The sequence below is a fragment of the Homo sapiens genome, chromosome 18 (genome assembly GCF_000001405.40).
Source record: "Homo sapiens chromosome 18, GRCh38.p14 Primary Assembly".
Lineage (NCBI taxonomy): Eukaryota > Metazoa > Chordata > Mammalia > Primates > Hominidae > Homo > Homo sapiens.
This window is the reverse complement of record NC_000018.10, coordinates 7,562,017-7,583,114: the sequence shown is the minus strand read 5'-3', so window position 1 is coordinate 7,583,114 and position 21,098 is coordinate 7,562,017. Positions and strand designations below refer to the sequence as shown.

Here is a 21,098-nt window from a genome sequence, read left to right as displayed (position 1 = left end):
GGAAAAATACAAGGCAAGGTTATTGCTCAAGGCTATTCTGTAGTCATAGGGCTCCAACAATAACAGCAGCTATTCTGGACTGGGCACTGTGTTTTACACAGGATGACCAAGGAAGTAGAATTCATACCCTTTTCACAGATGAAGGACTAGAGAAGCTATGTGATTCTCACAGTGAGGAAATAGCACAGCCACCTTGAGAACTCAAGTTTAATGAGGCTATTATAACCTTCAGAACTCACCCAGGGACACAGGGATTGAAAAAAATTCATATTATTTGATCTCTGAAGTAAACCCATGAATGAGAATGCCACCGATTGACCCTATTTGCAGATAAGGAAGTGAGTTCACCGAAGTTAACAACTTCACCCTTCAGATGACAGTAAGCAGCAGTGCTGGCCCTTGAACGCAGTTCTTCCAACCCTAAACTTTTCTTTTTCCCATGCTGCCCATGATTTCCCAACTGTTCTGAGAAGCTGAGGCATTTAGGTCATATGTGCTGGTCCTAGCAGACCCCTCTGTAAGTCCCAATTTCCCACCTCTTTTTGTATCCGTACTCTTTACCATGTGACCCTGCAGCCTCACATACCAAGGAGTGAGGACTATTTCCCCACCCTTGATTCTAGGCTGGCCTTGTAACTGGCTTTGGCCAGGAGAAGAGGTGGAAGTGACAACGTACTCTTCCCAAGCATTAGCCCAGAAGTCTTGGTTCACTTCTGCTCTCTCTTTGGAATGAGAGATCACATGTACGAGAGTCCAACTGTCCCAGCTGAGGACATCCTAGACCAGCCTACAGAAGGACAGCAGCAAAATTTCAAGAAAGCTCAGCCAAGATCACCGAGGAGAGACACATATACACAAAGTATACCGAGCCCAACTTAGGTCAGCAGAGGCACCCATAGAACATGAAGAATAGTAAATGGTGGTTGTTTTAGGTCACTAAGTTTTAGTAAATGGTGGTTGTTTTAGGTCACTAAGTTTTGAGGTGCTTTGTTACACAGCAATAGCTAACCAATATACCTTGTTTGCCAATTTGGATAGCCTTTTTAAAAATATGTTCACATAAAACTTTATTTAACCAAAAGATTTGTACACATTTCTACCTATGTAAAATTTGCTTAGCCAAAAGATTTTGATGCTTTAAAAAAATAAATTTTATGCCAGGTGGGGTGTCCCATGCCTGTAACCCCAACACTTTGGGAGGCTGAGGCAGGAGGATGGCTTGAGGCGAGGAGCTTGAGACTAGTCTGGGCAACATAACGAGAAGTCATCTCTTCAAAAAAAATTTTTGTGAAGTAGCCAGGAATAGTGCCGCATGCTGCTTGGGAGTCCCAGCTACTCTGGAGGCTGAGGTGGATCACTTGAGCCTGAGATGTCAAGGCTGCAATGAACTATAATCGTACCACTGCACTCCAGCTGGGGTGACAGAGCAAGACCTTGTCTCAAAAAAAAAAAAAAAAAGTAAATGAAACATGCACACACAAAAGGTACATTTGGAGCACTGATGCAAATGATGAGATTTGAAACTAATTTACTTTCTGCCACCACCCAAAAAGGTTTAATGCATTTATAATGATACATAAAATACAGCAAAATAAATTAAAATGATGTGAGAAGTGACTAAGAATCAGGCCAGCAAAAAGACCCAGAAACAAGCATCGACTGCATAGATGAATGCTCTGGCAGTTTGCTGCTTTTCGTCCAGGTACTATCTACTCTTCAACTGGTAACAGAACCTATTTATTTTTATTTTTTTCTTGGAGCCCAATCACAGGAGTGAGTTGTACCATGAGGGAAGAGAATTTCTCTTTCCACTAGGCTTGGAGCCAGAGGGATTTAGCCTGTAACTCCTTAGAAACATCACATAGAGAGAAAAGATGCTTAGCAAGGAAGACTTGGAATCCCGTGCCCACCTTTGGCCTTCTCTGTTACCTGTTACAAGAGCCAAAAAATTCCCTGTTTGATGCAGGCCAGCTTTGACTGAGGTTTTCAGTTCAATATAAAAGTTCCAGCTACTACAAAACATGCATTTGAATCTGGCTTTCTAACAGCCGACAGAAAAAAGAAAGTTGATGGGTTATATTGCTCACTGTGTCCACGAGAAGAATCTGACTGCACAGGAGAATCACACCTTTCCCTGAACCGGAAAGAAATCTCTCCAGAAGGTCATCATACGGATTTTATATGACATAATACAACATCACTTAATATCTTCCTAGCAGCCACAACACTACATTTGAAATGCTTTTTCTTAGAGCACACTTCAATACAGGAGGATGGCATCAAAGTAAAGCATAAATCAGGAAAACACTACTCTGTGTATGTATGGGGAGGGAGACATAATATGGTACATGTACCCCACGTTCGGATGACATGGTTGGGTTGGGAGTGGAGACGACTTTACCTCCCAAAGTCTCCGTTGATTCTCTCAGCCAAGCTTTTATTTGTAAATGGGGGGCAATAAGTTTGAGAATATCATACCCTCTCAGCACACTATTTAGCACATACTTAGTGCTCAATATATGGTTATCACTTATGACTATCAATGCTAAGCCCCTGAAATAAGGCTTACGTATATTATCAATATTTAAGAAGAAAGCCACAGGCCTTAACAGTCTAGTTGCTGAAGAGCCTTTGGCGTCACCTGTGAATGGTAGCTACATTCTCAAGTACAGAGAGAAAGAGTGAACTTCGCTTATGCTAAGTGCATAGCTTAGCAGATGAAGCCTATGGCAAATGTTCAAAGCATCTAAAATCTTGCAGACAGCCCTTCAACACCCACTTCTTGTTAGCAAGCAACCTCATGCTGTATCAGGCACTCTCTCAGATGGGACCCAGTGCTCTAGACATGTCTCCCATGCTCACCTATCAAAAATGACCCAATGATCCAAGTCTCATTCTCTTTTGCTGTGCCATCTGACAAACTAATCTGAACTAAGACATAAGCTGATGACAATCCTCATACTCTTTAAGATATTGGAGAGATCCTTGAATCAAATGTCATTTTACAAGGGAGAATCTAAAGATGTCAACTTATCGAGGTGACAGCTAGTTAGAGATGTCATATTTAAGATAACTTAATGAGCCACCTCTCCTAGAGACGACATTTTGACAAAGACCTTTCTTCCTTGGCCAAAATGATGAGCTAGTGGAAATTTCAAGTGCTTTAACAGACCAATATGCCCATTTTGAGGTTTGTGAGACTTTTTAAAACTACTGCAATCAAAGCACCAAGCTTTTGGTCCATCCTTATGGGGCACCTAAGACAAATCATTCCACAACGTTCACATGTTTCAATGAACATGAAGTAAAGGACTAAGTGCTGGAAAATAATCTTCCCAAAATACTTTGCAGATCATCTTGTCTCATGATCTTCCCTGAATGAGTCATCTCAAAATGCAGCTCAAATTGGCAAATTTAGAGATCTAAAATCATCTGTGTTCTGATTACTCCAAAATGTCTTTATTCTTTCACTATATTCTAAACATTCCAGAGTGATGCCACATTTACTAGAGGTCACCAAGTTGCAAGATATATACGAAGCAGATAAGTTTCTATAATGTAATTGTTTCATAACTCATTTTCTCTTCTAATGCTGAAAAGCCTCTGCTTTATAAAAGAAATGCTCTCTGGCCAATTATAGTTTGCTATGTAAAAATTCATGTATTAATAGTAATCCTCAGATGCTTTCTTAACACTCCTCATAGTAGATGTGATAAATTCAATACAAAGGCAGGGTCTCTGAGTCACTGTTACTTTCCTTCCAGTAGCTCTTCAACTTTAAAGAAGATCAAAATCATATGAGGTATTTCTTTCCAGTTTCTGACTCTGTAGGTCTGGTGGGGCCAGGAATCTGCATTTTTAACAAGTGCTTCAGGTGACTGTAATGCAGGTATCCAGGATGCAGGGCCTTCCATGGCACCGAGCAGTGCTGGCTTTTCATGATGCCAATTTTAACATGATTATTTTGCTAATTTCAGGGGGCTTTTTTCTTTTCAAACATAATGTTGGCCCTGTTTATAAAATCTAGACATACATAACCACATACACATACTTCTATGTCACTTATACAACCTCCCAGCACCACAACTATCAAAGCCTTGGACCCAGAAAGGGGATGTGTTAGTCTGAATCATGTGAAATTGCCAATATTCAACACTTTTTCACTTATGAAAGCACAGGGTTCCTATGCTTAAATCTGTAATCTGCATGAGGATGGGGGAACAGACTGATGGACCCGTCTTATTCTGACCACTAATTACACATGAAGCCCTATCACCCCAGGGGCCCCTGACATCACAGCATTGGTTCTCTGATTTAGTCTTTGCAATAACTCTGCAAGGAGGCTGGGCATTAGCAGCTCACGCCTGTAATCCCAGCACTTTGGGAGGCTGAGGTGGGAGGATCACTTGAACCCAGGTGTTTTGAGACCAGCCAAGGCAACAAAGCAAGACCTCTGTCTCTTAAAAAAAAAAAAAAAATTGGCCAGGCGCTGTGGCTCACGCCTGTAATCCCAGCACTTTGGGAGGCCAAGGTGGGCGGATCACGAGGTCAGGAGATCGAGACCATCCTGGCTAACACAGTGAAACCCCATCTCTACTAAAAATACAAAAAATTAGCCGGGCATGGTGGCGGGCGCCTATAGCCCCAGCTACTCGGGAGGCTGAGGCAGGAGAATGGCATGAACCTGGGAGGTGGAGCTTGCAGTGAGCCAAGATCACGCCATTGTACTCCAGCCTGGGCGACAGAGCAAGACTCCGTCTCAAAAAAAAAAAAAAAAAAAAATTAATTAGCCAGGCATGGTGATGCACCTATGCTCCCAACTACTCAGGAGGCTGAGGTGGGAGGATCGCTCGAGCCCAGGAGTTCAAGGCTGCAGTGAGCTATGATCATGCCACTTGCACTACAGCCTGGGTGACAAGAGTGAGACCCTGTCTAAAAATCATCATTATCATCATCATCATCATAATCATCATCATCATCCTGCAGGGTATTTTAAAATGAAATAACACACCCAAGGTCTCATGGCTACTTAGAGGTAGAAGGAGAACTCAATGCCAGGAAGACCTGATCCAACCAGAGGCTACTACTGCCCTTCTTTCAACAGCTCAGGGATCCCCATGGCTGATGTCACAGCCTCAGACCCCCACTGTGTCCTGTCCCTCTCTGACAAAGCATGCTGCACTCCAAACATACCAAGCATTCTCAACCAGCTGTCTCACAGGGGCCCCTGCCTACTGAGCAAGATTAGAAAGAAAAGCAGAGGCTCTTTAAAAAGTCACACATTTGGGATGAAAATGATGACAGACAGAGAGACGAGGGAGAACCTCCCTCACACACACACACACAGAACACAATGCCAATGAGAGCCAATGACCTGAACTCATGGTGGAAATTTTACACCACATTTGGTGTTCAAGACTTCAGAAGTTGAGGAAGTAGAAAACACAGTTTATGAGGTTGTTGTCAAAGTAGCCTCTTTTTATTAAGTTTTATCACTTGAGAGTATGATACACTGAATGAAAAAGGAACGAGAACATGCCTGCTGTAATGAAGATGAGCCTGATGTTATCATGATGCTGTCTGAGCTCTGTGTAGGTATAATTCATTTCATTCTATATCAGAAATAAAAGGCAGCAGAGATAATATATATTATTCCCTGTCATGGAATCTTCTTTCTGGTGATACCATGGTTCCTTTAATATACCAGTGACTAAATCAAATCCCCCTAGAGTACAGTCATGATAAATCTACTGCATAGTAAATTTCATTTTTTAGTGATCAGTATTATATCAAAATGCTACTTTATAGCAATAACTGATTTATACATTTTTATTATACACAATAAAACTACAGTCTTACTTTTATATATTTAATTAACAAAAGGTAATACTTTTTCCTTTAAATTTAGCAACTGTGTCTCTATACACCTATAAATTGCTAATGGCACCAGGCACTAAACACACAGCCTGGTTCTATTGTTAAGGTTATTGGAGATACCTAAGTCAAACTTGATAGGAAGTAGGAAAAAAAAAACAGCCTTAAGCATAAGTTATTTGATTTTTTTCTTCTCCAAGGGAGCTTCTTTAAATTGTTTCTTCATTCATTCAACAAATATTTATTGAGTGACTACTACATGCTAAAATTGTTAAGTAATCTGGTTTTACACATTATGAGTATGTTAAAAGGAATGCTTTAAACCACCTTATAATTGTATATCTAGATGGAACATCACACTGAGTCCATTTTAAGTTCATTTTAAGCATGTGCTTATTACATGATGTAAAGTACCTCAAGCTACTCAAACAGAGAAGAGAGAACAAATAGTATCCATCAAAAACAGGCTGGGCCAGGCAGAGTGGCTGACATCTGTAAACCCAGCACTTTGGGAGGCTGAAGACTACTTGAGCCCAGAAGTTTAAGACTAGCCTGGGCAATGTACCAAAACCCCATCTCTATCAATTTTTTTCTTTAATTAGCCGTGCATGGTGGCTTGTGCCTATGGACCCAGCTGCTCAGGAGGCTGAGGTGGGAGGACTGCTTGAGCCCAGGAAGTCGAAGCTACATTGAGCCATGATCAGTGATCCTGCCACTGCACTCCAGCCTGGATGACAGAGCAAGACGCCTTGAGAAAAAAAAATCAAAAAAACACAGACTATACAAAGGGTGTGGTCCAATTCCTTCTCACCCTCTGTCAAAGCCTACCTGTTACCTGTGAGCCCATTTTGATTCCATAGCTAGAAGCCAGGGAAAAGTAATGGGGCCTCAGACTCCCAGAGTAACCCACACTAATATGCACTCTTCTCATTGTATGCAATAAATCTGCTTTCTGCATATTGAATAGAAAGAGAGATTAAAATGAATATTCACCCATCTGAAAAACTGATGCTCTATAAGCTTTTATGCTTTGCAGCCCATAAAAAGTAAATGCTTTGCTTCTGCTTTGGCTGGTGCATGTTGAAATAAATCATTCTGTTAAACAGTGGCCTTTTCTTCAGAGGGAGATGCTAAAACCTTATCAGTTTTGACAAGTCTCTGACTCCTCTCCTCTCATTCATCTCTCCTGTATGTCCTGCAATCCTTGCTCTTTTAGCTTGCAAGGTCATTTCCAACCCCTGCTAGCCCCAGTTTCGAAAGGAAGCCACACAGCCATCTTCAATCAGATTCTCCACCCTGCCCTGACTTCTAACCCAAAGCCCAACACTTGCATTTCATATAAAGTTTTTGATGACTCATTAGTCTTCTGAGTTTTAAGCAGGAAAAATGGCTGAATCAGATTTCCAGGCAGATTTTCATGACTTCTTGAATTACATACCTAAACCCTCAGTGCTGTAGAAGTCACTCCTTGCAGACGTAAGAAAAGTACAGACAAGCCATGTCCTAAAGATGTTACACACCTACACAGAGCCATCCACACCACTGCTTTTTCTGGTCTACTACAAGAAGGCCCCAAAGGTTAACATGAACCCTTTACTTAGTTGGCAAATATATACTACTTCTTCCAGTTTTACCACTACATGTAGATTAGCAGCAACATATGACACAGCAGAAAAAAGAAAAAATTGAGTAAGACTGTAGCAGGTGAATCTAAAGTTGTCTCTGGATCAGTGCTGAATTTCAACAAACTACACTACAAGTAGCAGTGGAACTACAACTCCCACTAAAGAACTCAATTTTACAATAAAGACTTAGAGATGCACACGTAAGCGGATGAAAGTCCGCTCTCGTGCCTTTCTTTAGCTGTCCAGGAAGCCATCTATGGATGGGGCTGGACCTTGCTTGGCTCAGGCAGGGGGGTTAAGGGACGCAGCTACACCTAGTGATCAGCTGCGGATGGCAGCAGGAGCAACCGGCAGCAGGGAAGCACTCTTCAGCTGTTTCTCAGAAAGGCCGGCTACAAAGCGCTCAGGATCAATCTGTTAAAAGACATCATGATTATTTTTATTTACCTGGAGTGTTAAATGACAGAGATGCAATGGTTGTCTTTGAGGGTTCAGAGAAAAATTAGGCTCAATTTTAGGATACACATTGTCAGTACTTTAAATAAATGTCCAAGAAAAATCTTCATTATTTTTTTCTGTTTTTTGAGACGGAGTCTCGCTCTGTCGCCCAGACTGGAGTGCAGTGGCGCGATCTCGGCTCACTGCAAGCTCCGCCTCCCGGGTTCACGCCATTCTCCTGCCTCAGCTTCCGGAGTAGCTGGGACTACAGGCGCCCACCAACACGCCCGGCTAATTTTTTTGTATTTTTAGTAGAAACGGGGTTTCACCACGTTAGCCAGGATGGTCTCCGTCTCCTGACCTCGTGATCCACCTGCCTCGGCCTCCCAAAGTATTGGGATTACAGGCGTGAGCCACCGCGCCTGGCCGAAAAACCTTTATTTTCTTTCTATTTGGAATTTGAGTTTATTGCCAAAGGCAAAGTTTCACAATTCCACATTACAATTCCAAATCTTACATCTACTAACTTCCAGTTCTCTCCTGAGAAAGTCCCTGTTTCTTTCCATTTTAGTAGATTTTGAAATTTTAATAAATGAATAACTTCTCAAAGTGTGGTAACTATACCTGCTTTATCCTTGCCCATTACCATCCACAAAGGGGCCGTACAAATGTAAGTGCTCAATAAATATTTATTTGAATTAAATATTTCAATAAGAATTATTAATAAGCACTATTAAATATTCTAATAAGCACACTGGGCTGCATGCTTATTATAACAAGCCAACAAATATCTCCTATACAAAATATCAACCCAGGGAAATTTCCAATGGCTAACCATTACAACAAAATTTAATTGTTACATCGTGGTAAGTAAAAACATAGGAAACTTTTTTATTCATTTGAGTTTTACAACTGGCTGGATTTAGTCTCTTCCCCAGTGTCTGGCCAGAGACAACACGATCACATCACCATGTTGGTAATACCGGCCGTATTAATCAAGAGGCTAAGCAGTGAATGAATGGATGTGATATTTTTACCCCCAGTTCTCTTTCAGCTCTTGTCAAGGGAGGCTGATAGGGCAGGCAGAAGATCTCAGTTCTTTTAGAACAAGGGTTCTCCAATCTCAGGTCACATCAGAATCCCATGGGGGGCTTGTTCTAACACAGATTGCCGGGCCTCATCCCCAGGGTTGCGGATTCAGGGTCAGAGGGTTGCAAGTCTAACAACTTTCAATGTAATGCTGATGCTGCTGGCTCAAGGACAACACTTTAAAAACTCCTCTTTCAGGGCCAGGCGTGGTGGCTCATGCCTGTAATCCCAGCACTTTGGGAGGTGGAAGCAGGAGGATCACCTGAGGTCAGGAGTTCAAGACCAGCCATGGCCAACATGGTGAAACCCCGTCTCTACTAAAAATACAAAAATTAGCCAGGCGTGGTGGCAGGCACCTGTAATTCCAGCCACTCGGGAGGCTGAGGCAGGAGAATCGCTTGAACCCGGGAGGCAGAGGTTGTAGTGAGCCAATATCACTCAGTTGCACTCTAGCCTGGGGGACAAGAGCGAGACTTTGTCTCAAAAAAAACAAAACAAAACAAAACAAAACAAAACAAAAACCTCCTCTTTCAGGACAACGTTTCTTCAACTGTGGCTACAAACCCTGACCACCCAGGGATGCTGGGGGACCTCTGTCGTGGACATCAGAATCACCACAGCTGGGCCCCAGGAAGCAGCCTTTGAAAGGAGGCCTCCAGATGCTCCCCGTGGACAGCAGGTTTTGAGAAGCACAGATTAAAACCTAGCTCACCATCAACACTGGTGCAGTTTCCCAGGCCCTCCCCAGAGCCACCTAACGTCACTGAGGCAGGATGTCACTGTGATCTACCTGCACAACTGCCACTCTTCATGGCCCTCCTTCAACTTTCCATGTGTTTCTCCTTCATAGCTAAGAGGGCACAAGGGGAGTGACCCTCCCTTGCTAAGATCTCTAGAGCTTGTCACATCCCACACCTGAGTACACAACACTTCTCTTCTCATCCTGTTTTTGTCTTTTTCTCTCACATACTCCCAGACCCTTAATTATGCCCTGGCCTTGCCAGCCTCCTCACCAATGATGGGGGCACTACAGACTAGGAAGCTTGGTGACTAAATCTTTCCTCCTCTCCACCCAAGGCAGCCCAACTTATTTTTCTCTGCTGGGTTTTTCAGAGCTACAGTGTCAACTCAGGCTTTCTGATGACTAAACTGAAAACCACCGCGGTATTTTAGGAAGCAAAAAAGCAACATCCTCTTATAATGCAAGATTTACATTATTTTGTACCTTTTTAGAATGTTTGTGAGTTGGAAAGACATTAATAATTAAACCTTCCCTCGCTTATAAAATAAGCCTATTAACATGCATGTTATATTCATAAAGATAGTAAGCACACTAAAAAGTGAAACTATAGGAAAGTTGGTTTTCAAAGAGAAGAATCTCAGAACTAAAGTAAAATGCATGGTGGACATAACCCCTAAGAAAAATGTTTCACTGTTGAAAAGCATAAAACTCATTAAAATGCCTGATTCCCTAAATGAAAACTAAGCCTTGGGATATTTAGATAATACATGCTCATTCTAGAAACTTAATGAAATCTAAAACAAAAATTGAAAGAAAACAATATTTAATCTAATACATAGTTCCTCTACTGTATACAGCCTCACAATTCCTAGAATATATTACAATCCTTAGAGAATTATGAAAAATTTAAATAAAGGTATTGACTTTTCTAGAATTGTCACAGAATTGCTTAAATTCTGAAACCAACTTTTACCAAATCTAAAGGCTAGGCTATGCTTCATTTATAAAGAATTTATATAATCTGAAGACATAATTCAAATTACTTGTTCATTAAAGAAAATTCATTTTGAATTACCAAAATTATATACACACTTATCCATATATCACTACATGTCAATAGATTCTTTTCTTAAAATCTGTAAAAATAACCCTTTGAAAACATGAGAGACTAAAACCTATAATTTTCTAGATCGGAACAATTTATTATGCTCAAGCAATTCTTCTTTACATATACAGAACACTAAGAATGTTATAGTAATTTCTTAGCATATTTCTTTCATGCTCACTGATTTAAATTTGAAGTATTTTCTTCATTATCAATTTTCAATCTAGCGAAAGCACCTTGAAAATGTAAAATGCTATGACTATAGTTATCTGAAAAAGAAAAAATAAACTTAACTGCTAAACAAACATATTACCACTCTTTGCAAAGGGTGCTTTAAAATTCTGTATTTTGAAAAAATTTCAGATTTATAGAAGACTTGCAAAAACAATACAAACTGTGCAAGTACACCCTTCACCCAGCTTCCCCCTAATGTTAACATCTTACATTCACAGAGCAGAATTACCAAAGCTAAGAAATTAACATTGGTACCACACTACTAACTAAATTACAGGCTTTATTCAGATTTCAGCTGTTTTCCCACAAACATCCTTAAAATATTTTAAAAAATTAATTTCTCCACGAGTCCCAAATTCACAAGGTTATGTTAACATTTAATATATTTCAAATACCACTGTAGCTGAAACAAAGAGCTAAGTCTATATTTCTATTTCTGCAAACCAAAGCTTGCTTAGCAGAACTTAACACATCAAAACCATTATAAGGTAGAACTAAACACTTCATTGTATTATATAATATATGTTGCAACTTGGCTTTTAAGAAATTGGGTCAAAGAGGAACAACTTGCCAACTCGTTGGTTTCTCACCATGCAAAAGGGAATTTCCAACAAAGGTAAAATAATTTAACTTTCTTTCTCATGTCTTACTTATATACCATCTTACCAGTTATTTTTAGTGAACACTAAAGACCTAGAAGATATAAAGTGAACCTCCATTATTTTGCCTAACAAATTAGAAACGGTAATGATAAAAAACAATTTTTCAGCCTGGGCACGGTGGCTCATGTCTGTAATCCCAGCACTTTGGGAGGCCAAGGCAGGCAGATCACAAGGTCAAGAGATTGAGACCATCCTGGCCAACATGGTGAAAACCCGTCTCTACTAAAAATACAAAAATTAGCTGGCGGTGGTGGTGGTGCACACCTGTAGTTCCAGCTACTCGGGAGGCTGAGGCAGGAGAATCGCTCGAACCCGGGAGGTGGAGGTTGCAGTGAGCCAAGATCGTGCCACTGTACTCCAGCCTGGCGACAGAGCAAGACTCTATCTCCAAAAAAAAAAAAAAACCCACAATTTTGTAATGAAATCCATCATTATAAGTAAGCAATGTCATCACAGGCCCAAATCCTAATACTTTTCCAGTAAGTTTAGCATTCTATTTCTGATGTCTGGTATCCAAATCACATGTAGTCCACCTCCAGAAATGGTTAATTAACAATCTTAACAATTCCAAACCCATTCCAAAAGAGGACAGGAGAGCACTGCAGAAAGCAAAGGGCAGAGTGCCTTGTGTAGATAATGTCTGAGTTATACAAAAACCCTTGACTGATTATATTTATAAACCCTCATGATTAGTCCATTGGCCTAAAGAGAACCCAGTGTGGAAAAGGCAAGCCAAGTCTAACTTTTAACAATCACTTCTCTCCCTCCATTTTATTATATATTGGTCCATTCACACACAATTTGAATATGTGCAAATGATCAAGATTCTCATTAGTGATTTATTCAACAAATAGTAATAATGCCTGTGACATCTAAGGATCTATGAGAAATGTTTTGTGAGAAAGTCAGAAGAAAACGAAAATTGGCTTTGCCCTCAGGGAGCTTACAATCTAGCTCTTCTGGCTCTAAAATTTATTCCCATGTCAAGTGAAAAGCAGCCAATTACTACAATTTCTGGAAGAAACATAAAAAAGAAATGTGTCAATGCCACTCCTAGCATTCAGAATTAACTTCCTCAACATACAAAAACAAAAAACAAAACCCTGATTCACACCTGTACTACCTAAACGCAATATGGAGAGAAAAATAAATAATGAAGTGAAACATATCTGATCCTTGCACATATGAAATTTGCCATCTTCACTTTTCACTTTTTTTTTGAGACGGATTCTCACTCTGTCACCCAGGCTGGGGTGCAGTGGTGCAATCATAGCTCACTGCAACCTCAAACTCCTGGGCTCAAGCTATCCTCCTGCCTCTGCCTCTAGAGCAGCTGGGACTACAGTCACACGCCACCACACCCAGCTAATCCAATTTTACATTTTTTAAAGTTCAACGTTTCTGAGGCATGGCTTGGATGCTGCCCTTTACCCACTAGCATGCCAGGATAACTCTGGCTTTCTAGATAGAAAAGAAAACACATTTCACTTAATGGTATGATTAACTCAAACAAATAGATATATTTCTTCCAAATGAAAAATCAGGCTAAATTTTAGTAGAAGTCTATTTTGGCTTGACTGATCATTTACATCAGCCTTAACAAGGACATGGGTCAGTACAACTGAGGCTGAAATCCTTTTTGGTGATGAGGAACCCATGGTTTAAATAAGCAATATAAATATTTGTTTCCACTCCCTTGCACACAATTTAAAAATCCATCCAAATGATATTTGACACAGCTTAACTTTAAACAAATCCCAAGAAGGGAGTCATGGATGTTAATAAAGAGAAAACCATCACTAGGGCTCTCATACTTGGCTTCTAATACTAATGAGTTACAAGGCTCTCAAATTCTACTCTATTATTCACTAATAAGAACACAGACCAAATTCTGCATCAGTTTTATAATCAGACGACAGTGCATCATTGTGTTAAATCCTCTGGAGCACGTGCAATTACCAGGCAGTTAGGGAAACACAAAACTTGGAGAAAGGATATTTCTGTATTGAAGTTGATGCTTTGGGTTTCAAAACCTACACGTTCCACTCCTTCTCTGAGGCCAACTGTGATCAAGGGTCCTGCAGATCAGCAACACACAAGACACAACTAATGTGCCTGTGAGTCCAGAGCTCCAGCAGCCAATGGTCCTGGACCCCAAGAAAATAAAAAGGTTTCCACGCACCGGAGGACCAAAGGTTTTTACTGCTTAAAATATGCTCTTTACTGTTTATGAAAGTCCTCTTCATTAAATTCTTAAAAAGCCCAACTTACTCATTCAACTCACTTGTTCCCAAACGCAGAGACCTATTTTGCAAAAACCAAGTTTAAGACCAAAGAGCAGGCTTTTTTATTAAAGAAAAAGAAAGCCCACCGCCCCCACTGCATGTGGACCTTAATGAAACTAATCTAATAAACACTAGAAAGAAGGTGTGCAAATGGGCCAGCATTTGCCGTCTATCCACCTGTGTCACCCAGGTAATAAAGGTCATCCTGGTTGTAAACCCCTGTGACAGCGTGCCGGGTTCGCCCCCACGCCGGACCCCCGACTCCGATCCACAGATCCTCTCCGTGAGGGGTTCCTCTGGGCTTAGAACGCCCCCGCGCGCGCGTGCAGGCACACACGCGCACACACTCACACGCTTGCTCGCACACCGCCAGTGCCTCTCCTTCCCACCTGGGACCCCCGGGCAGCCGGGCTGGATGAACAAGTTGCAGCTGGCCGCGGCGCTCCGCTAGGGGGACGAGGGTGGGGAGGGGGAGCCCAGCGGGGCGCAGGGCCGTGGCCAGGGCCTGGGGACCTGCCCGCTTCCCTCCGCGGCCGCCAAGCCCTACCGCTGGGACCGGCGAGGAACTCCCCCCAGCCTCTCCGCAGACGCTGCACGACCGCGGGGACCTCCCGGGGTCGCCAGCCGCGCCGGGCAGGGGGCGACAGGGAGGGCAGGGCACCGGGAGATCGCCGCCGCCGGAGCGGCCGCCAGTTCCCGGCGATCGCTGCGGGCGCAGCCGAACACCAGCGGCCTGGGCCCGGCCGCTGCTCGGGGTCGGCGGGGACCGCGCAGCGCCTACGCCAGGCGGCCCGGCGGCTGCAACTGGGAACTTCAAGCAAAGTTTTCTGCTGTTCCTTTTGCAGCCGGCCAGGGACTCAAGAGTGCAAGCCGCCCAACCTTGAGCACTAGCCCAGGCCGCGGAAGGACGGCGGCCGAGCTGGCAGTCCCGGCTGGGGAGCTCGCCCTCGGGGTCCGTCCGCTCCGCCCGCCCGAGGACTGGGTGCCTGCCAGCCCCACGGCCCCTCGCCCAGCGCCCGGCTCACAGGCAGAAGCGGTGTCCGGCCCGCCGCGCCCCCCGCCCGGCCCCGACGCCAGCCTTAGGGCTCTACCACCAGGGAGCTGTCGGCGTCCCGGGCGTCCCGCGCCGGCCCGCGCGCCTCGGGGGCGGCAGAGGCGGTCCCGCTTACCTGAGAACGTCTCGCCCGCCGCAGTTAGCAAAAGTCCGGCCAAAGTCGCCAGGCAAGTCCCAAGTCCCCTCATGGTGCTGAGTGCGGGCCGGGCCGCTCCCCGGCGGCGGTGGGTGGGCGCGCGAGGGCGGAGGGGGCCGGGAGCTTTGGTTCCGAGGCAGCGAGGAGAGACGGGTAAACAGCAGAGCGCTAAGCCAAGCCCCCAAAGTGCCAACAGTTGCAGAAGTCCGAACTCCAGCGGCTCCAGGGGCGCGGGCACAGGGTCCTGGGTCCTCCTCCCCTGTCCCTGGCCCCACTCGGCGTCTGGCGCCGCTGGCAGAGGGAGCGGAGGGCGAGCCCGCGGAGCCAAAATCTTCCCTCGGTTCCGGTTGCTGAGCTCGCCGCCTCTCCCCTTCCCCTGCCCGGGACCCGGGACCCGAGCTGCCGGCCGTGGCCGTGGCGGTGGCCGTGGCCGTGGCCGCGCGCGTTCCGCCCGCCGCCTCTCCACAGGCAGCCCCAAGCCCAGCCCCGGGCGGCGGCGCGCCGATGACCGAGCCCGCGCCGGCTGCGCGCGGGGCTCTTGCTCCCCGACTGACTGGCGGTGCCCCGCAGGCCGGCTGAAGGGAGCGCTCACGTCACGGCCGCCCGGCGCCGCCGCGGCCCGCTAGAGGGCGTGAGCGCCCGTGCCCCGCCGGCCCGCGCCCGAGCGCCTCCGGGAGCTCGGCTGGGGGCGGCCCCGCGGCCACAGCCACTACCGCCGCCGAAGCGGGCGTCAGCCGCGCGGGGAGGAGCGGCCACCGGGCTCCCCCCGCCCACCTCCTCGCCCCGGCCGCGTCTTCTATTTTGGTAGCTGGCTCTGGGGAGGGTGACTGTGGAAGAGGCTGCGCCGCCGCCAGAAGTTTGTCCCGGGTCACGAGCCGCGAGTAGTTTGTGAGCGCGGCCGGGCGGGACCAGCGGCCTGCGACCCCGCGGGCGCGGCCAGGCGGCTTCGAGCCTGGCGCCGGACGGCGATGTCACCGCACAGGGCCAGCTGCACCCGGAGTCGCCGGGCCTGCGCTGCTCGGCGGCTGCGGGAAAAGCGAGCCAGGAGATCGCTGAGGCTCCGGAGGGCTGCGAGCTTCTCTACGCCGCGGGCGGAGCGAAGTTGGCGGGCGCCGGGAGATGGCGCGGGAGCCGGGAGCGCCGAGCCCCGCGATCGCCAGCCCGCTCCCGGCCGGGCCCGCCGGGTACACGCCGCTGGCCCCGAGCACTGGCGCCCGGGAAGCAGGGCGCGCTTCTGCTGTTCTGCGTCCTCATCATGCCTCGGTGTCCCGTGTGGGCCCGAAGCGAGCCGCAGGCAGTACACGGAAGGCGGTGGTCACACCAAAACCAGGGTTTGGACATAACCCGTGGTTTCTGTATCTGGTGCAAAGTGCTGAGAAACAGGGGAGAAAGAGAAGTGGGGGGTGAATCAAGTAATGTCTTGAAATATTTTAGTTTTACGATTTTGGGTCTGAGTGAATTAAAAAAACCTTACAATGCTTCAGCAAAAAATAATTTTTTTATTTTAATTGTAAATTTTTTTGTAAGTGATCCTTCTATCTTCCAGGGAATAAGCACATTGAGCCAGCACCAACCAGACAGCTGTAAGCTCCTGGCCTAGCTAACTGAACGCAATAGAAGGCTTGGGAAGAGGTTAAATTAGGAACCAAAGTAACTGAGTGACAGGGTTCTAGCAATGATTCTGGCTAGAAGGCAAACCGGTGATACAGAGGCACCCAGGAGCTCTCCTGCACTTTTTCCGCAAGAGGGGTCCTCTGCTTAGTGCTCACTGCTTTCTAGTGCTTATAAACACGTAAAAAAATAAATGGATTCCACACTCATCTTGACCCTGTTCTCCACTGTACACCAGAACCAAGAAAGATACAGCTGTCATCCTCCCAAGGCAAATTTGGGGACTAGAAGACTTGCCTTTAGTGTGGCAACCAACACTCCTCTTACTTCAGGAAGTCCACTTACTAGATACTTACCAGACCTGCTCTTTAGAAGTCTCTATATTAATCATTTGCTTGTTAATATGAGCTTACATTGTCCTGCCACTTCTCCCAACTATGTGCTTATGGAACCTTATCTTTAATTGTGAAATGAACATTGAAATCTCAGAAAGGAAGCAATGTCTTCAAGATCAGCAAGTGAGGATGGTCAAATCTGCAACCTGGGCTTTCCATTTTGATGTACTTGTGTTCTATACTGCAGTTCAAATTTGCTTTAAAAAAAATTAGTAATAGGCTTTCCAATGGAGTTTTTCTGCTAGTGGGAGGACAGAGGTGGAAGCTAGGGAGACAAAAGTTGATCTAATCACTTTGCTTCAGAGTAACTTCTTTAAATTAGGTGAAGTTAATATTAGGGTAGGATTTCATTTGCAAAGTATTTTATTCTTTCAGCAAATATCTACTGAGTCAATACCATATGTCAGGCACTGTGCTAAGTACTGGAGGTTGTCTTAGGCTGGGCTCCCTCAGAAACAGACCTGGAGGTTAGGATTTAACTATAAGTGGTTTTGAATTGGGGAAGTGATCCCAGAAAGCACTATAAGGAAGGTGAGACAGCAAGACAGAGAAGAAAAAAAAAAGCAGACATCGATATGAGATGTGTCAATAAGCAGGTTACCACTATGGGCAAGGGAAACTCAATCCCCCTGCGGGGGGACGATGAGGAGCTGGATGGAAGAGGAAAGGGCCACTCTACGGACCTGCCACTGAGGCATTAGACAGAAATCCCTGCCAGTACTCCAACTGCTGCTGCCACAGGACTCCTCTTGGTAACCTCTACAAACCCTGTCCCTTCTGCCTGTTACTTAAAGCTTAGTGGGAGGGTCTGTAAATTTCTATTACCCCTGTTCTCTATCTTTACACTGTTAAGTTGACTCTACCCTTTGCAGCCTTCCATCCACATTTCAAAGGGTGGTGGGATTTTTGCCAGCAGCTTCTGCCCTCTCAATTCATGACAACTACTGTTAGTTTACTCCCTCTTACAGGTAACTGGTCAGAGCAGCCTTTGAGCCTAAATGGAAGTCCTCTGCTGAAATGAATGGATTGGACTTCCTCTAAGGAAGGGATGCTGTAGGAATCCTCCCAGTGGGACATTTGCTTTGACTTGTTTTTTCAGCAGTAGAGATTTAGTTTTAACCACATTTCACTCCTGACTCACTGAGGACAATAGTGACATTTGCAGAATGGCTGCTCAGAGTTAGGGGTGCTGTCAGGCCAGCCCCTGACATTGGTAGGCTTGGGCAAGAGTACAAATGCATAGCCACTTACCATATGCCTAATATTTCAAAGTTATTAATTAAGCTAGCAAACTACTATGTATATTCCTACCTTGACACATATAACAATAAAATTGAAATATAAAACCTACAGATTTTATATGACAAAAAGCAAAATATCAGCAACTGAATTATGCATATCTGCTAGACATTATACATATCTAGATTTTCTTTGATAGGCTATATGGATAAGTAATATACATGATTCATATATATTTATTCTATAAAATTGATATTTCTCTTTAGTAAAATCACTGTGTTGTTATAATTGAGATTTTCACTTAATTTGTGTTCCATTGACAGCGGTGATTGAAAGCTTTGCTGTTCTGTATGGTAGCACCTAACAGCATTTCAGGTGTTCTGTTCCTCAGTGACACTAGCTACATTTCAAATGCTCAGTAGCTTCATGTGGCTAGAGCTAATGTATTGTACAACATGGAGAGAAAACAAGTCCATCATCATAGAAAGCACTATTGAACAACATTGATCTAAAAGATTCATCTATTCAGGCCCCATGTGGTGGCTCACACCTGTAATCCCAGCGACTCAAGAGGCAGAGGCCAGAGGATCACTTGAGGCCAGGATTTCTAGACCAGCTTGGACAACATGGCAAGATCCTGTCACTACAAAACAGTTTTTTAAATAGTCAAACATGGTGGTTTATCCCTGTAGTCCCACCTACTCAGGAGGCTGAGGCTGGAGGATCATTTGAGCCTAGGAGTTTGAGGTTGCAATGAGCTGTGCACTCTACACTCCGTCTGGGTAAAGAATGAAATCCCAATTCTAAAAAATAAATAAATAAAGGATTAATGTAGTCAAATCATACAAAATGTTTGTACTTACACCACAAATGTAAATTCCTTTTTTTATTTCAGAAAATTAGAATTATTTTTCTATAGTTGTTAAAAGTTTTCTTTCAAATGATTTAAAGTTATCTATTAGAATTAAAATGCAAAATACAAATTATGACAATGAATATAAACACTGAAAAGTTATTTTTTTAAAGCATAAACATTTTATTTAATATTTGGAAATTTAATTACACCTTATTAATGTGTAAATAAAACATAAACTTAGCAATTCTAGCATTCATTGTCCACCTGGTTGCTAACATAAATAATCAGTATTATGTTTCATGTGTTATAACTTCATATCTACCATTTTAACAGTAACATTAATTAGTTAATTTTTCAAAATATTGGCCAATCACCACGTTCAACCGCATGCAAATGCTATACTGCTGTATGACTTCTGCCAGAACCATGAATTGTAACAAAAAGAGAAGCAAGAAAATGAATGTTTGGCATTGCTAGGAAACCCTCATTATTTAAGACTGTATGATATGCTTGCTATCTAAAAGGAAGGTTTTGACAGTTTAATTCATTTGACTTTTCTTTGAATCAAGCGCCTCCACTATACATCATCCACACGTTTAGGAGTGTCCATCTTCCATGTCAGCAGCAGCACACCCTGCAAATCTTCAGGTTGTGGGATGCACTCACCTTTGTTTCAAGGACAAGGGACTATAGGGGAGAAGTGTTTCTCTGGGGCCCGAACGGTGTTGGTTTTGAAAGCAAAAGTTTAGGGTAAAGTTTTATGCAGTCTTTAACACTGAGCACCAGACCTCTACTGACAGAAGTGGCTGTATGTTCCTTAACAAATTTATTTTTATAGGTGTGTGATGCCCAGGGCAGGAGCCCATCCTGCCAGTCGGTGGGCCGAATTGCTGGCTGTACTTGTGCAGTGCTGGGGCCTGGCAATAGCAACTCTGCTCTTGAGATTTGTCCAAACCCCATTAAAGTCAAAATGTAAATATAACAATGAAAACTGATCTGACCATAACCCATCCCTACCTATCCAAAACGTTATGTCGAATTAGGAGGTTAACCCCGTGCGGCAAGTTCCTAAGCTAGCTGAAGTATTTGCCAAGAAGCATGGACAAAATGATCATTTGGATACCTCCCAAGGTCACTCAATTGTAACCGATGGAAAAGGAAAAGAAAAGATTGTCATTGTTTCCATTGCTCATGTTTTCTTATCTAGGCCTTGCTGAAATGATTACTTCCCACTTTTAGATGCATGTTGGGATTATGAAAGTGTGGTTTGAGAGAAATGGGAAATGTAAATAAGCATTCTTGTATAGATTTCCAAAATGACATATTCAAGGATGGCAAGTTGTAGGAAGAGAAGGTAGGAGGATGAAAGGAAGGGAAGAAGGAAGGAAGGGATAAAGGAGAGAGCTAGCACTATCTAGAGTCCAACTTCATTTGAATTCCAACTGTGTGAGTTAAATGAGTTCATTTCCACTTCCTGACTTGTAGAAATGGAATTACATGTGAAAGCTCTGTGTAAACTCTGAGGCGCTGAGCAAACTTGATTATTTATTATGTTGATCTCTAAGCAAAGCTGGGAGTGAGTAGTGCCTCATCCCACTCCCCACCCATCTCGCCCCCATTATTCTTTCCCTCAGAGGACAGTGCAGGCATGCACAGCAGTGGGGCCTCGGCCACGTGATATGCAGATCCCTGTCCTTGTGCACACGCACGATTTGTGTCGACTTTACTTAGCTTCAGGCATGAGAGGAGCAAA

General features: G+C 44.2%; 1 protein-coding gene across 11 annotated transcripts in view, besides 2 other annotated features; it reads right to left on the bottom strand.

The window, feature by feature from the left end:
* PTPRM (protein tyrosine phosphatase receptor type M) overlaps positions 1-15,799 on the bottom strand; it is an 839,541-nt gene extending 823,742 nt beyond the window's left edge. For all 11 annotated transcript variants that reach the window (XM_011525708.3, XM_047437715.1, XM_011525712.3 and 8 more), the window contains exon 1: positions 15,224-15,799. In XM_011525708.3, the coding sequence (XP_011524010.1) occupies positions 15,224-15,296 (73 nt within the window). In that variant the 5' untranslated portion in view covers positions 15,297-15,799. The remainder of the gene's footprint in view (positions 1-15,223) is intronic.
* Positions 4,662-5,418: an enhancer, noted in NCBI's record as "H3K27ac-H3K4me1 hESC enhancer chr18:7577695-7578451 (GRCh37/hg19 assembly coordinates)". NCBI's record gives its function as "activates a minimal SCP1, AML or CMV promoter by ChIP-STARR-seq in primed H9 embryonic stem cells {active_cell/tissue: H9 hESC(primed)}" and the evidence as "EXISTENCE:reporter gene assay evidence [ECO:0000049][PMID:30033119]".
* Positions 15,749-16,118: a silencer, noted in NCBI's record as "silent region_9270". NCBI's record gives its function as "represses an Ori minimal core promoter by ATAC-STARR-seq in GM12878 lymphoblastoid cells {active_cell/tissue: GM12878}" and the evidence as "EXISTENCE:reporter gene assay evidence [ECO:0000049][PMID:35858748]".